We start from the raw sequence: 16,706 nt of genomic DNA, 5'->3' as shown, positions 1-16,706 counted from the left end.
TTATCAATTTTGACATACTTCTACAAAGTAAAACTGCTACAAGCGTTAGATATTAATATGTTTTACATTCACAAATCACTCCAATATTCATTGAAAATGACCACTTTAGGAGTTAATTAGAATTCCACATACTTTTTGTTTCTATAATAGTCTTGTTGGGAGTATCATGCTATTCTCTAAAGAAGTTTCATCCAATAGCTATTTTACCCAAGAGTTAGCTCCTTGAACAATGAAGCCAATGTATTCATATTCAAGTTTATCTCATTTTTATAACTAAAATCAACAAAACATGTATCTCTGATGCCTAACAGTAACAAAGAGGAGTAACGAGTCAGTGTGCTTTATCCCAATTCTAGCATTGTTTCCTGCTTCCAGTAGTTCTTGGAGAAGCCAAAATTTAATATTCTTTTATGCAAATATTCCAAATTTATCTGAAGTGAGTTCACTCAGCTTTCCTCAACAGAAACCCCAAAATTACATAAATAACTTCTTCTTTTCTCTCCTTCCTGCCTCACAATCCCTCTTCCTTGCGGAAAATAATTACTACTTCAGTGATCTTGTTCGTTCTCATTCTATGCTGTTTTTGAGGTATTAGGATCACTTTTCCCTCTGTTTATAACAATATGATCTGACGCCTATAATATCTATTACTTCATCTCTTTCTCCTTCCCCTCTTGATGGAAACTTGCTGTAGAATTAAAGCAAAATGATGCTGTCCCCTGAGGCTGTTATGTGCTGAACCGCTCTCCTATGGCTCTTCTTCCCAATTTCAATGTAGGGAAGTCTACAATCTTACTACTCAGATCATGGTCAAGGACCAGCACCATCAGGGTCACCTGAGGACTTATTACAAATGAAGAATCTCAGGCATGCTGAATCCAAACATAAAACTTCAATGAACCCCCCGCTGATTTATTTAGGGAAGTGAATTTCTCTTCTATTTGATCGAACATTACATTAAAGGTGTATTCCAAAATACCTGTCCCACGTATTTGTCCATCCTTTATTTCTGTGGCTATATTCGAAACAGAATCTTTCTTGACACTTGTAGCCTGAATGGGATTTGAAACAAAATAATCAATACATAAAGTATATATTCATAGACTATACAGTTAATAGTTCAAAATATATATGAGTGTTTAATTACCTTCCAGGCCGGTTGTTTCTGAGAAGACACTGAAAAGCAAAACAGATACATAATCACTCATATGTGCATATGATAAAGTTATTCAAACATTCATGCAGTGTTAGCATCAAGCTGCCTCTGTCTGCAGTTATTAGTGTAGGCTTTGATGCTTTATACTTTGTGTTTTGGGATGGGAACATGACAGAAATACACTGAAGAAAACAGGAATACAGGTTTCAAGAAATATACACTAAGCATTTCAAACGTAGTATGATTTGTCATATGACTAAAACTAAAATAAAAGTGTCAATTTCAATAAGGATATGCCGAGTGATGAGGACAAATGTGGTCTAAAATCACAGAAGAAACTAATCACCTGGGAATCAATGTCAAAGCAGGTGGTACATGCACCCGCATGACTTTCATGCAAGATATCCGAATGATTAAACCATTATACTGCAAACATTCAACATGCTCTTTAACTTGCCCAATAACTGAGAAGGTACACAATTACAATGACACTTCACTTGAACGTGCACTTCACATCTCTTAAGTGGAAGGGACCTAAATCGATCAACGTGGATGTATGTTTCCTGAATCCAAGTAAATAATTCATTATTTCTCACACCCATGTGCTGTAATAATTTGCCTAAGCTTCTTGTATTCTCTAGTTTAGCCTTTTGAACATTTCTTCATCCACTCGTGGCAACAAAGTATAATATATAACCTCAATAAAAAGCATCATCAATTATCAATTTTGACATAATTCTACTAAATAAAACTGCTACAAGTATTGGATATTAATAAGCTTTTACACTTGGAAATCACTCCAATATTCATTGAAAATTACCATTTTAGGAGTCAGTTGTTGAATTCAACATTATTTTTGTTTCTAAAATAGTCTTGTTAGGAATATCATGCTATTCTCTAAAGAATATTCATTAAATACCTATTTTATCCAAGAGTCAGCTCTTTGATCAATGAAGCCAATGTATTCATATTCAAGTTTATCTAACTTCTATAAAAAACTAAAATCAACAAAACGTGTTTAAGTCTGATATCTAACAGTAACAAAGAAGAGTAATTAGTAAATGAAGTTTATCCCAATTCTAGCATTATCTCCTGCACCCAGTAGTTCCAGCAGCTGCCAAAATCAAATCTTCTTTATGCAAATATGCTAAATGCCTCTGAAGTGAGTCCACTCAGGTTTCCTCAGCAGAAACCCCAAAATTACATAAATAACTTCTTCTTTTCCCTCCTTCCTGCCTCACAATCCCTCTTCCTTGGGAAAAATCATTGCTATATCAGTGGTCTCCTTAGTTCTCATTCTACAGCGTCTACAGGTTATTAGGATCACTATTCTGTCTTTTTTATAGCAGTATGATGTGACGTCTGTAAAATATATACTTCATGTCTTTCTCCTTCTACCCTTATTGAAAACATGCTGTAGAATTAAAGCAAAATTATGCTGTTCCCCTGAGCCCCTTATGTCTTGAACTGCTCTCCATATTTCTTCTTCCCAATTTCAATGTGGGGAAGTCTATAATCTTACTGCAAAGATCATGTCCAAGACCAGCAGCATCAGCGTCACCCAAGAACTTATTAAAAATGAAGAATGTCAGGCCTGCTGAATCAGAATGTGCAGTTTTGATGAGCCCCACACTGATTTGTTCGGGGAAGAGAAGTACTTTTCTATCTGGACTGAACATGACATTAAATGTGTTTTGCAAAATTACCTGTTCCAGATTGTTGTCCATCCTTTATTTCTGTGGGTATATTCGAAACAGAATCTTTCTTGTCACTTGTAGCCTGAATGGAATTTGAAACAAAATAATCAATACATAAACTATGTTTCATAGACCACACAGTTAATAGTTCACAATATAAATGAGAGTTTAATTACCTTCAAGGCTGGTTGTTTCTGACAAGACACTGAAAAGCAAAAGGGATACATAATCACTCATATGTAAATATGATAAAGTTATCCATACATTCCTGCACTGTTGGCATCAAGATGTATCTTCCTGCCTGTATTAGTATAGGCTTTGATGTTTTCTACTTTGTGACTCGGGACTGGAATATGACAGAAATACACTGAAAAAGGTGAATACAGGCTTCACAAAATATACTTACAATTTCAAACATGGCATGATTTGTCATATGTCTAAAACTAAAATAAAACCGTGTCAATATCAATGTGGATATGCCAAGTGATGAGGACAAATGTGATCTAAAATCAGAGGAGCAACTCATACAATTGAGAATCAATGTCAAAGCAGGTTCTACATGATGCCACATGTCTTCCATGCAAGAAATCAGAAGGATTTACACCATTATAGTACAAACATTCATCATGCTCTTTAACTTGCCCAATAACTGAGAAGGCACACAATTACAATGACACTTCAGTTGAACGTACACTTCACGTCTCTTCAGTGGAAGTGTCCTAAATTGATCAGCTTGGATTATGTTTGCTGAAACCTAGTAGAGAATATTCATTATTTCTCACACCCCTGTGGTGTAATAATTTGCCTAAGTTTCTTGTATCCACTCGTTTAGCCTTCTGAAAGTTTCTTCATCCACTCATGGCACCAAAGGATAATATATTAGCCTCAATAAAAATATCATCAATTACCAATGTTGACATATTTCTACAAAGTAAAACTGCTACAAGCATTAGATATTAATAAGTTTTACATTCAGAAATCAATCAAATATTCATTGAAAGGACCACTTTAGGAGTTAATTAGAATTCAACATATTTTTTGTTTCTAAAAAGTCTTCTTTGGAGTATCATGCTATTCTCTAAAGAAGTTTCATTCAATAGCTATTTTATCCAAGACTTAGCTCCTTGAACTTTGAAGCCAATGTATTCATATTCGTTTATCTCAGTTTTATAACTGAAATCAACAAAACATGTATCTCTGATGCCTAATAGTAAATTACTCCTAAAGAGGAGTAATGAGTCACTGTGGTTTATCCCAATTCTAGCATAGTTTCCTGCTTCTAGTAGTTCCTGGAGCAGCCAAAATCAAATCTTCTTTTATGCAAATGTTCCAAATGTATTGAAGTGAGTTCACTGAGGTTTCCTCAGCAGAAATCCCAAATTACATAAATAACTACTTTTCCCTCCTTCCTGACTCACAATCCCTATTCCTTGAGGAAAATAATTGCTACATCACTGCTCTTGCTAGTTCTCATTCTACAGTGTTTTTGTGGTATTAGGATCACTTTTCCCTCTGTTTATCACAATACAATCTGACGCCTCTAATATCTATTACTTCATCTCTTTCTCTTTTCCCTCTTGATGGAAACATGCTGTAGAATTAAAGCAAAATGATGCTGTCCCCTGAGCCTGTTATGTGTTGAATTGCTGTCAGATGGTTCTTTTTCCCAATTTCAAAGTACAGACATCTATAATCTTAGTACTTCCATCATGGCCAAGGACCACAGCATCAGGGTCACCCGAGAACTTATTACAAATGAATAATCTCAGGAATACTGAAGCAGAACATGAAGGCTTGACGAACCCCCCGCTGTTTTATTTGGTGAAGAGAAGTTCTCTTCTACCCTGACCGAACATCATATTAAATGTGTTTGCAAAATTACCTGTCCCAGATATTTGTTCATCCTTTTTTTCCGTGGCCATATTCGGAACAGAATCTTCCTTGTCACAGATAGCCTGAATAGAATTTGAAACAAAACAGTCAATAAATAAAGTATATTTCATATACTATACAGTTAATAGTTCAAAATATAAATGAGAGCTTAATTACCTTCAATGCTGGTTGTTTCGGAGAAGACACTGAAAAGCAAAAGGGATACATAATCACTCATATGTAAATATGATAAAGTTATCCATACATTCATACAGTGTTAGCATCAAACTCTGTCCCCCAGCCTGTATTAGTGTAGGCCTTGACGGCTTCTACTTTGTGTCTGGGGACCAGAACATGACAGAAATACACTGAAAAAAGGGAATACAGGCTCCATGAAATATATCCTTACAATTTCAAAGATGCTATGATTTGTCATATGTCGAAAACTAAAATAAAGCCCTGTCAATATCAATGTCGATATGCCGGGTGATGAGGACAAAGTGATCTAAAATCAGAGGAGCAACTCATACACCTGAGAATCAATGTCAAAGCAGGTGCTACAGGATCCCACATGTCTTTCATGCAACAAATCAAAAGGATTTACACCATTATAGTACAAACATTCATCATGCTCTTTAACTTGCCCAATAACTGAGAAGGCACACAATTACGAAGACATTTCAGTGGAACGTACACTTCACATCTCTTCAGTGGAAGTGTCCTAAATTGATCACCTTGGATATCTGCTTGCTGATACCTAGTAGATAATATTCATTATCTCTCACCCCCATGTGGTGTAATAATTTTCCTAAGTTTCTTGTATCCACTAGTTTAGACTTCCAAAAGTTTCTTCATCCACTCATGGCACCAAAGGATAATATATTAGCCTCAATAAAAATATCATCAATTATCAACTTTGACATACTTCTTCAAAGTAAAACTGCTACAAGCATTAGATATTAATCAGTTTTTCATTCAGAAATCACTGCAATATTCATTGAAAATGACTATTTTAGGAGTTAATTAGAATTCAACATCATTTTTGTTTCTAAAATAGTCTTTTTGGGAGTATCACGTTATTCTCTAAAGAAGTTTCATTAAATAGCTATTTCATCCAAGAGGTAGCTCCTTGAACAAGGAAGGAAATTTATTCATATTCAAGATTATCTCATTTTTATAACTAAAATCAACAAAACATGTATCTCTGACGCCTCCTAGTAACAAAGAGGAGTAATGAGTCAGTGTGGTGTATTCCAATTATACCATTGTTTCCTGCTTCCAGTAGTTCCTCGAGCAGCCAAAATCAAATTTTTTAATGAAAATATTCTAAATGCATCTGAAGTGAGTTCACTCAGGTTTACTCAGCAGAAACCCCAAAATTATATAAAAGAATTCCTCTTATTCCGCCTTCCTGCCTCACAATCCGTCTTCCTTAGGAAAATAGTTGCTACACCAGGGGTCTCCTTAGTTCTCCTACACTGTACACGGGTTATTACAACAAGTTATCTGTCTGTTTTTAGCAGTACGATGTGACGTCTGTAAAATCTATACTTCCTCTCTTTATCCTTCCACCCTTACTGAAAACAAGCTGTAGAATTAAAGTAAAATTATGTTGTTCCCCAGAGCCCCTTATGTCTTGAGCTGCTCTCCGTATTTCTTCTTCCCAATTTCAATGTGGGGAAGGGTATAATCTTAGAGCGAAGATCATGTTCCAGGCCAGCAGCATCAGCACCACACAAGAACTTATTTGAAATGAAGAATCTCAGGACTGCTGAATCAGAATGTGCAGCTTCAACGAGCCCTCCGCTGATTTATTCAGGGAAGAGAATTTCTTACCTATCTGGACTGAACATGACATTAAATCTGTTTTCAAAATTACCTGTCCTAGATTTTTCTCCATCCTTTTTTTCTCTGGCTATATACAAAACAGAATCTTTCTCGTCACTTGTAGCCTGAATGGAATTTGAAATGAAATAATAAGTAAGGTATCTTTCATAGGCTATACGTTTACTAGCTCACAATATGAATGAGAGTTTCATTACCTTCAAGGCTGGTTTTTTCCGAGAAGACACTGAAAAGCAAAAGGGATACATAATCACTCACATGTAAATATGATAAAGTTATCCATACATTCACACAGTGTTAGCATCAACCTCTGTCCTCCTGCCTGTATTAGTGGAGGCTTTGATGGCTTCTACTTTGTGTCTGGGGATCAGAACATGACAGAAATACACTGAAAAAGGGAACACAGGCTCCATGAAATATACCCTTACAATTTCAAACATTATATGATTTGTCACGTGTCAAAAACTAAAATAAAACCGTGTCAATCTCAATGTGGATATGCCGAGTGATGAGGACAAATGTGATCTAAAATCAGAGGAACAACTCATATACGTGAGAATCAATGTCAAAACAGGTGCTACATGATCCCATATGTCTTTCATGCAACAAATCAAAAGGATTTACACCATTATACTACAAACATTCTTCATGCTCTTTAACTTGCCCAATAAATGAGAAGGCACACAATTACAATGACACTCCAGTTGAAAGTACACTTCACATCTCTTCAGTGGAAGTGTCCTGAATTGATCACCTTGGATATCTGTTTGCTGATACCTAGTAGATAATATTCATTATCTTTCACACCCATGTAGTGTAATAATTTGCCTAAGTTTCTTGTATCCACTAGTTTAGCCTTCCGAAAGCTTCTTCATCCACTCTTGGCACCAAAGGATAATATATTAGCCTCAATAAAAATATCATCAATTATCAACTTTGACATACGTCTACAAAGTAAAATGGCTACAAGCATTAGATATTAATCAGCTTTTCATTCAGAAATCACTGCAATATTCATTGAAAATGACTATTTTAGGAGTTAATTAGAATTCAACATCATTCTTGTGTCTAAAATAGTCTGGTTGGGAGTATCGTGTTATTCTCTAAAGAAGTTACATTAAATAGCTATTTTATCCACGAGGTAGCTCCTTGAACAAGGAAGCAAATTTATTCACATTCAAGATTATCTCATTTTTATAACTAAAATCAACAAAACATGTATCTCTGATGCCTCCTAGTAACCAAGAGGAGTAATGGGTCAGTGTGGTGTATTCCAATTATACCACTGTTTCCTGCTTCCAGTAGTTCCTGGAGCAGCTAAAAGCAAATATTTTTTATGAAAATATTCCAAATGCATCTGAAGTGAGTTCACTCAGGTTTCCTCAGCAGAAACTCCAAAATTATATAAATGACTTCCTCTTTTCACACCTTCCTGCCTCACAATCCGTCTTCCTTAGGAAAACTGTTGCTACACCAGGGGTCTCCTTAGTTCTCCCACAGTGTCTACGGGTTGTTACAACAAGCTTTCTGTCTTTTCTTGGCAGTACGAGCTGAAGTGTGTAAATTCTATACTTCCTCTCTTTCTCCTTCCACCCTTACTGAAAACAAGCTGGAGAATTAAAGCAAAATTATGTTGTTCCCCAGAGCCCCTTATGCCTTGAACTGCTCTCCATAATTCTTCTTCCCAATTTCAATGTGGGGAAGTGTATAATCTTACTGCGAAGATCATGTTCCAGACCAGCAGCATCAGCATCACCCAAGAACTTATTTGAAATGAAGAATCTCAGGACTGCTGAATCAGAATGTGCAGCTTCAACGAGCCCCCCGCTGATTTATTCAGGGAAGAGAACTTCTTATCTATCTGCACTGAACATGACATTAAATCTCTTTTCAAAATTACCTCTCTTAGTTTTTTCTCCATACTTTTTTCCTCTGGCTATATTCAAAACAGAATCTTTCTCGGCACTTGTAGCCTGAATGGAATTTCAAATGAAATAATAAATTAATAAAGTATGTTTCATAGACTATACATTTACTAGTTCACAATATAAATGACAGTTTCATTACCTTCAAGCCTGATGGTTTCTCAGAAGACACTGAAAAGTAAAAGGGATTCATAATCACTCATGTGTAAAAATGACAAAATTATCCATACATTCATACAGTGTTAGCATCAACCTCTGTCCTCCTGCCTGTATTAGCGTAGGCTTTGATGGCTTCTACTTTGTGTCTGGGGACTAGAACATGACAGAAATACGCTGAGAAAATGGAATACAGGCTCCATGAAATATAGTCTTAGAATTTCAAACATGGTATGATTTGTCATATGTGAAAAACTAAAATAAAACCGTGTCAATATCAACGTGGATATGCCGAGTGATGAGGACAAAGTGATCTAAAATCAGAGGAGCAACTCATACACCTGAGAATCAATGTCAAAGCAGGTGCTACATGATCCCACATGTCTTTCATGCAGGAAATAAAAAGGATTTACACCATTATACTACAAACATTCATCATGCTCTTTAACTTGCCCAATAACTGAGAAGGCACACAATTACCATGACAATTCAGTTGAACGTACACTTCACATCTCTTCAGTGGAAGTGACCTAAATTCATCACCTTGGATATCTGTTTGCTGATACCTAGTAGATAATATTCATTATCTCTCACCCCCATATGGTGCAATAATCTGCCTAAGTTTCTTGTATCCACTAGTTTAGCCTTCCGAAAGTTTCTTCATCCAGTCATGGCAACAAAGGATAATATATTAGCCTCAATAAAAATATCATCAATTATCAATTTTGACATACACATACAAAGTAAGACTGCTACAAGCATTAGATATTGATCAGTTTTTCATTCAGAAATCACTGCAATATTCATTGAAAATGAGCATTTTAGGAGTTAATTAGAATCCAGCATAATTTTTGTTTCTAAAATAGCCTTCTTGGGAGTATCATGTTGTTCCCTAAAGAAGTTTCATGAAATAGCTATTGTATCCAAGAGGTGGCTCCTTGAACAAGGAAACCAATGTATTCAGATTCAAGTTTGTCTGATTTCTATACCTAAAATCAACAAAACATGTATCTCTGATGCCTAATAGTAACAAAGGGGAGTAATGAGTCAGTGTGTTTTTATGCCAATTCTAGGATTGCTTCCTTCTTCCAGCAGTTCCTGAAGCAGCCAAAATCAAGTACTTTTTATTAAAATATTCCAAATGCATCTGAAGTGAGTTCACTCAGGTTTCCTCAGCAGAAACCCCAAAATTATATAAATGACTTCTTCTTTTCACACCTTCCTGCCTCACAATCCGTCTTCTTTGGGAAAGTGATTGCTACACCAGGGGTCTCCTTAGTTCTCCTACAGAGTGTACGGGTTATTACAACAAGTTTTCTGTCTGTTTTTAGCAGTATGATGTGACATCTGTAAAATCGATACTTCCTCTCTTTCTCCTTCCACCCTTAGTGAAAACAAGCTGGAGGATTAAAGCAAAACTATGCTGTTCCCCAGAGACCCTTATGTCTTCAACTGCTCTCCATATATCTTCTTCCCAACTTCAACGTGGGGAAGTGTATAATCTTACAGCGAAGATCATGTTCCAGACCAGCAGCATCAGCATCACCCAAGAACGTACTACAAATGAAGAATCTCCGGCCTGCTGAATCAGAAAGTGCAGCTTCGATGAGCCCCCCGCTGATTTACTTGGGGAAGAGAACTTCTTATCTATCTCGACTGAACATGGCATTAAATCTGTTTTCAGAATTACCTGTCCTAGATTTTTCTCCATCCTTGTTTTCTCTGGCTATACTCAAAACAGAATCTTCCTCATCACTTGTAGCCTGAATGGAATTTGAAACAAAATAATAAATAAATAAAGTATGTTTCATAGACCATATATTAACTCGTTCACAATATAAATGGGAGTTTCATTACCTTCAAGGTTGGTGGTTTCTGAGAAGACACTGAAAAGCAAAAGTGATTCATAATCAGTCATATGTAAATATGATAAAGATATCCATACATTCAAGCAGAGTTAGCATCAACCTCTGTCCTCCTGCCTGTATTAGCATAGGCTTTGATGGCTTCTACTTTGTGTCTGGGGACTAGAAAATGACACAAATACACTGAGAAAAGGGAATACAGGCTCCATGAAATATACCCTTACAATTTCAAACGTGGTAAGATTTCTCATATGTCGAAAACTAAAATAAAACCGTGTCAATATCAATGTGCTTAGGCCGAGTGATGAGAACAAATGTGATCTAAAATCAGAGGAGCAACTCACACACCTGAGAATCAATGTCAAAGCAGGTGCTACATGATCCCACATGTCTTTCACACAACAAATCAATAGGATTTACACAATTATACTACAAACATTCATCATGCTCTTTAACATGCCCAATAACTGAGAAGGCACACAACTGCGATGATGCTTCAGTTGAACTTACACTTCACATCTCTTCAGTGGAAGTGTCCTAAATTGATCACCTTGGATACCTCTTTGCTGATACCTAGTACATAATATTCATTATCTCTCACACCCATGTGGTGTAATAATTTGCTTAACTTTCTTGTATCCACTAGTATAGCCTTCCAAATGTTTCTTCATCCACTCATGGCACCAAAGGATAATATATTAGCCTCAATAAAAATATCATCAATTATCAATTTTGACATATTTCTACAAAGTAAAACTGCCACAACCATTAGACAATAATAAGTTTTACATTCAGAAATCATTCCAATATTCATTGAAAATGATCACTCTAGGACTTCATTGGAATGCAACATAATTTTTGTTTCTAAAATACCCTTGTTGGCAATATCATGTTATTTTCTAAAGAAGTTTCATTAAACAGCTATTTTATCCAAGAGGTAGCTCCTTGAACAAAGAAGCCAATGTATTCATATTCAAGTTTATCTCATTTCTATAACTAAAATCAACAACACGTGTATCTCTGATGCCTAATAGTAACAAAGAGGAGTAATGAGTTATTGTGTTTTTATGCCAATTCAACCACTGTTTCCTGCTTCCAGCAGTTGCTGGAGCAGCGAAAATCAAATATTTTTTATGAAAATATTCCAAATGCATCTGAAGTGAGTTCACTCAGGTTTCCTCAGCAGAAACCCCAAAATTATATAAATGACTTCCTCTTTTCACACCTTCCTGCCTCACAATCCGTCTTCCTTAGGAAAACTGTTGCTACACCAGGGGTCTCCTTAGTTCTCCTACAGTGTCTACGGGTTGTTACAACAAGCTTTCTGTCTTTTCTTGGCAGTGCGAGCTGAAGTGTGTTAATTCTATACTTCCTCTCTTTTCCCCTCCACCCCTACTGAAAACAAGCTGGAGAATTAAAGCAAAATTATGTTGTTCCCCGGAGCCCCTTATGCCTTGAACTGCTCTCCATATTTCTTCTTCCCAATTTCAATGTGGGGAAGTGTATAATCTTACTGTGAAGATCATGTTCCAGACCAGCAGCATCAGCATCACCCAAGAACTTATTTGAAATGAAGAATCTCAGGACTGCTGAATCAGAATGTGCAGCTTCAACGAGCCCCCCGCTGATTTATTCAGGGAAGAGAACTTCTTATCTATCTGCACTGAACATGACATTAAATCTCTTTTCAAAATTACCTGTCCTAGTTTTTTCTCCATCCTTTTTTCCTCTGGCTATATTCAAAACAGAATCTTTCTCATCACTTGTAGCCTGAATGGAATTTGAAATGAAATAATAAATTAATAAAGTATGTTTCGTAGACTATACATTTACTAGTTCACAATATAAACGACAGTTTCATTACCTTCAAGCCTGGTGGTTTCTCAGAAGACACTGAAAAGTAAAAGGGATTCCTAATCACTCATATGTAAAAATGACAAAATTATCCATACATTCATGCAGTGTTAGCATCAGCCTCTGTCCTCCTGCCTGTATTAGCGTATGCTTTGATGGCTTCTAATTTTGGTCTGGGGATTAGAACGTGACAGAAATACGCTGAGAAAAGCAATACAGGCTCCATGAAATATAGTCTTAGAATTTCAAACATGGTATGATTTGTCATATGTGAAAAACTAAAATAAAACCGTGTCAATATCAATGTGGATATGCCGAGTGATGAGGACAAAGTGATCTAAAATCAGAGGAGCAACTCATACACGTCAGAATCAATGTCAAAGCAGGTGCTACATGATCCCACATGTCTTTCATACAGGAAATAAAAAGGATTTACACCATTATACTACAAACATTCATCATGCTCTTTAACTTGCCCAATAACTGAGAAGGCACACAATTACCATGACAATTCAGTTGAACGTACACTTCACATCTCTTCAGTGGAAGTGTCCTACATTCATCACCTTGGATATCTGTTTGCTGATACCTAGTAGATAATATTCATTATCTCTCACCCCCATATGGTGTAATAATCTGCCTAAGTTTCTTGTATCCACTAGTTTAGCCTTCCAAAAGTTTCTTCATCCAGTCGTGGCACGAAGGGATAATATATTAGCCTCAATAAAAATATCATCAATTATCAAATTTGACATACACATACAAAGTGAAACTGCTACAAGCATTAGATATTGATCAGTTTTTCATTCAGAAATCACTGCAATACCCATTGAAAATGAGCATTTTAGGAGTTAATTAGAATCCAGCATAATTTTTGTTTCTAAAATAGCCTTCTTGGGAGTATCATGTTGTTCTCTAAAGAAGTTTCATGAAATAGCTATGGTATCCAAGAGGTAGCTCCTTGAACAAGGAAACCAATGTATTCAGATTCAAGTTTGTCTCAATTATATAACTAAAATCAACAAAACATGTATCTCTGATGCCTAATAGTTACAAAGGGGAGTAATGAGTCAGTGTGTTTCTATGCCAGTTCTAGGATTGCTTCCTTCTTCCAGCAGTTCCTGCAGCAGCCAAAATCAAGTATTTTTTATTAAAATATTCCAAATGCATCTGAAGTGAGTTCACTCAGGTTTCCTCAGCAGAAACCCCAAAATTATACAAATGACTTCCTCTTTTCACCCCTTCCTGCCTCACAATCCGTCTTCTTTGGCAAAATGATTGCTACAACAAGGGTCTCCTTACTTCTCCTACAGTGTGTACGGGTTATTACAAGAAGTTTTCTGTCTGTTTTTAGCAGTACGATGTGACGTCTGTAAAATCGATACTTCCTCTCTTTCTCCTTCCACCCTTACTGAAAACAAGCTGGAGGATTAAAGCAAAACTATGCTGTTCCCCAGAGCCCTTTATGTCTTCAACTGCTCTCCATGTATATTCTTCCCAACTTCAATGTGGGGAAGTGTATAATCTTACAGCGAAGATCATGTTCCAGACCAGCAGCATCAGCATCACCCAAGAACTTACTACAAATGAAGAATCTCCAGCCTGCTGAATCAGAAAGTGCAGCTTCGACGAGCCCCCCGCTGATTTATTTGGGGAAGAGAACTTCTTATCTACCTGGACTGAACATGACATTAAATCTGTTTTCAAAATTACCTGTCCTAGATTTTTCTCCATCCTTGTTTTCTCTGGCTATACCCAAAACAGAATCTTCCTCGTCACTTGTACCCTGAATGGAATTTAAAACGAAATAATAAATAAAGTATGTTTCATAGACCATACATTAACTCGTTCACAAGATAAATGGGAGTTTCATTACCTTCAAGGCTGGTGGTTTCTGAGAAGACACTGAAAAGCAAAAGGGATTCATAATCAGTCATACGTAAATATGACAAAGATTTCCATACATTCGAGCACTGTTAGAATCAACCTCTGTCCTCCTGCCTGTATTAGCATAGGCCTTCATGGCTTCTACTTTGTGTCTGGGGACTAGAACGTGACAGAAATACACTGAGAAAAGCGAATACAGGCTCCATGAAATATACCCTTACAATTTCAAACATGGTATGATTTCTCATATGTCGAAAACTAAAATAAAACCATGTCAATATCAATGTGGATATGCCGAGTGATGAGAACAAATGTGATCTAAAATCAGAGTAGCAACTCACACACCTGAGAATCAATGTCAAAGCAGGTGCTACATGATCCCACATGTCTTTCATGCAACAAATCAAAAGGATTTACACCATTATACTACAAACATTCATCATGCTCTTTAACATGCCCAATAACTGAGAAGGCACACAATTGCGATGATGCTTCAGTTGAACTTATACTTCACATCTCTTCCGTGGAAGTGTCCTACATTGATCACCTTGGATACCTCTTTGCTGATACCTAGTACATAATATTCATTATCTCTCCCACCCATGTGGTGTAATAATTTGCATAAGCTTCTTGTATCCACTAGTTTAGACTTCCAAAAGTTTCTTCATCCACTCATGGCACCAAAGGATAATATATTAGCCTCAATAAAAATATCATCAATTATCAATTTTGACATATTTCCACAAAGTAAAACTGCCACAACCATTAGATATTAATAAGTTGTACATTCAGAAATCATTCCAATATTCATTGAAAATGATCACTCTAGGACTTAATTGGAATGCAACATAATTTTTGTTTCTAGAATACCCTTGTAGGCAGTATCATGTTATTTTCTATAGAAGTTTCATTAAACAGCTATTTTATCCAAGAGGTAGCTCCTTGAACAAGGAAACCAACATATTCATATTCAAGTTTATCTCATTTCTATAACTAAAATCAACAAAAGATGTATCTCTGATGCCTAGTAGTAACAAAGAGGAGTAATGAGTTATTGTGTTTTTATGCCAATTCAAACACTGTTTCCTGCTTCCAGCAGTTGCTGGAGCTGCCAAAGTCAAATATTGTTTATGCAAATATTCCAAATGCATCTGAAGTGAGTTCACTCAGGTTTCCTCAGCAGTAACCACAAAATTATATAAATGACTTCCTCTTTTCCCACCTTCCTGCCTCACAATCCGTCTTCATTCAGAAAATAATTGCTACATCAGGGGTCTTCTCAGTTCTCCTTCTACAGTGTCTACGGGTTATAATGAACAGTTTTCTGTCTGTTTTTAGCACTATGATGTGACGTCTGTAAAATCTGTACTTCCTCTCTTTCTCCTTACACCCTTAATGAAAAGATGCTACAGAATTAAAGCAAAATTATGCTGGGCCCCAGAGCCCCTTATGTCTTCAACTGCTCTCCATGTTTCTTCCTCCCAATTGTAATGTGGGGATGCGTATAATCTTACAGCGAAGATCATGCTGCAGACAAGCAGCATCAGCATAACCCAAGAACTTGTTAGAAAAGAAGAATCTCAAGCTTGGTGAATCAGAACGTGCAGCTTCAACCAGCCCCCGACTGATTTATTCGGGGAAGAGAACTTCTTATCTGGACTGAACATGACATTAAATGTGTTTCGCAAAATTACCTTTCCTAGATATTTCTCCATCCTTTTTTTCTCTGGTTATATTCGAAAAAGAATCCTTCTCATCACTTGTGGCCTGAATGGAATTTGAAACAAAGTAATAAATAAGGTATGTTTCATAGGCTATACGTTTACTAGCTCACAATATGAATGAGAGTTTCATTACCTCCAAGGATGGTTTTTTCCGAGAAGACACTGAAAAGCAAAAGGGATACATAATCACTCACATGTAAACATGATAAAATTATCCATAGATTCACACAGTGTTAGCATCAACCTCTGTCCTCCTGCTTGTATTAGTGGAGGCTTTGATGGCTTCTACTTTGTGTCTGGGGATCAGAACATGACAGAAATACACTGAAAAAAGGGAACACAGGCTCTGTGAAATACACCCTTACGATTTCAAACATGGTAAGATTTGTCATGTGTCGAAAACTAAAATAAAACCGTGTCAATCTCAATGTGGATATGCCGAGTGATGAGAACAAATGTGATCTAAAATCAGAGGAGCAACTCATATACGTGAGAATCAATGTCAAAACAGGTGCTACATGATCCCACATGTCTTTCATGCAACAAATTAAGAGGATTTACACCATTATACTGCAAACATTCATCATGCTCTTTAACTTGCCCAATAACTGAGAAGGCACACAATTACGATGACACTCCAGTTGAACGTACACTTCACATCTCTTCAGTGCAAGTGTCCTGAATTGATCACCTTGGATATCTGTTTGCTGATACCTAGTACATAA

The 16,706-nt window shown here is 36.4% G+C and overlaps 1 protein-coding gene across 50 annotated transcripts in view; it reads right to left on the bottom strand.

The window, feature by feature from the left end:
• Window positions 1–16,706, bottom strand: part of ANKRD36 (ankyrin repeat domain 36) — a 151,369-nt gene that overhangs the window by 48,045 nt on the left and 86,618 nt on the right. For 31 of the 50 annotated variants that reach the window (XR_007074204.1, XM_017004009.2, NM_001354587.1 and 28 more), the window contains 18 exons: window positions 16,115–16,143; window positions 15,952–16,024; window positions 14,247–14,275; window positions 14,084–14,156; window positions 12,381–12,409; window positions 12,214–12,286; window positions 10,509–10,537; window positions 10,342–10,414; window positions 8,638–8,666; window positions 8,471–8,543; window positions 6,768–6,796; window positions 6,605–6,677; window positions 4,903–4,931; window positions 4,736–4,808; window positions 3,030–3,058; window positions 2,863–2,935; window positions 1,148–1,176; window positions 980–1,052 (listed from right to left, as the gene is read on the bottom strand). Coding sequence is in view for 49 of the 50 variants with exons in the window: in XM_017004009.2 (XP_016859498.1) it covers window positions 980–1,052; window positions 1,148–1,176; window positions 2,863–2,935; window positions 3,030–3,058; window positions 4,736–4,808; window positions 4,903–4,931; window positions 6,605–6,677; window positions 6,768–6,796; window positions 8,471–8,543; window positions 8,638–8,666; window positions 10,342–10,414; window positions 10,509–10,537; window positions 12,214–12,286; window positions 12,381–12,409; window positions 14,084–14,156; window positions 14,247–14,275; window positions 15,952–16,024; window positions 16,115–16,143 (918 nt within the window). In the remaining variant the exon portion in view is untranslated. The remainder of the gene's footprint in view (window positions 1–979; window positions 1,053–1,147; window positions 1,177–2,862; window positions 2,936–3,029; window positions 3,059–4,735; window positions 4,809–4,902; window positions 4,932–6,604; window positions 6,678–6,767; window positions 6,797–8,470; window positions 8,544–8,637; window positions 8,667–10,341; window positions 10,415–10,508; window positions 10,538–12,213; window positions 12,287–12,380; window positions 12,410–14,083; window positions 14,157–14,246; window positions 14,276–15,951; window positions 16,025–16,114; window positions 16,144–16,706) is intronic. The other 19 variants (XM_017004011.2, XM_047444232.1, XM_047444237.1 and 16 more) reach the window with 13 other exon arrangements.

This window comes from Homo sapiens, chromosome 2 (genome assembly GCF_000001405.40).
Source record: "Homo sapiens chromosome 2, GRCh38.p14 Primary Assembly".
Classification (NCBI taxonomy): domain Eukaryota; kingdom Metazoa; phylum Chordata; class Mammalia; order Primates; family Hominidae; genus Homo; species Homo sapiens.
The sequence above is the reverse complement of the archived record's forward strand: the minus strand, read 5'-3'. Positions and strand labels throughout refer to the sequence as shown.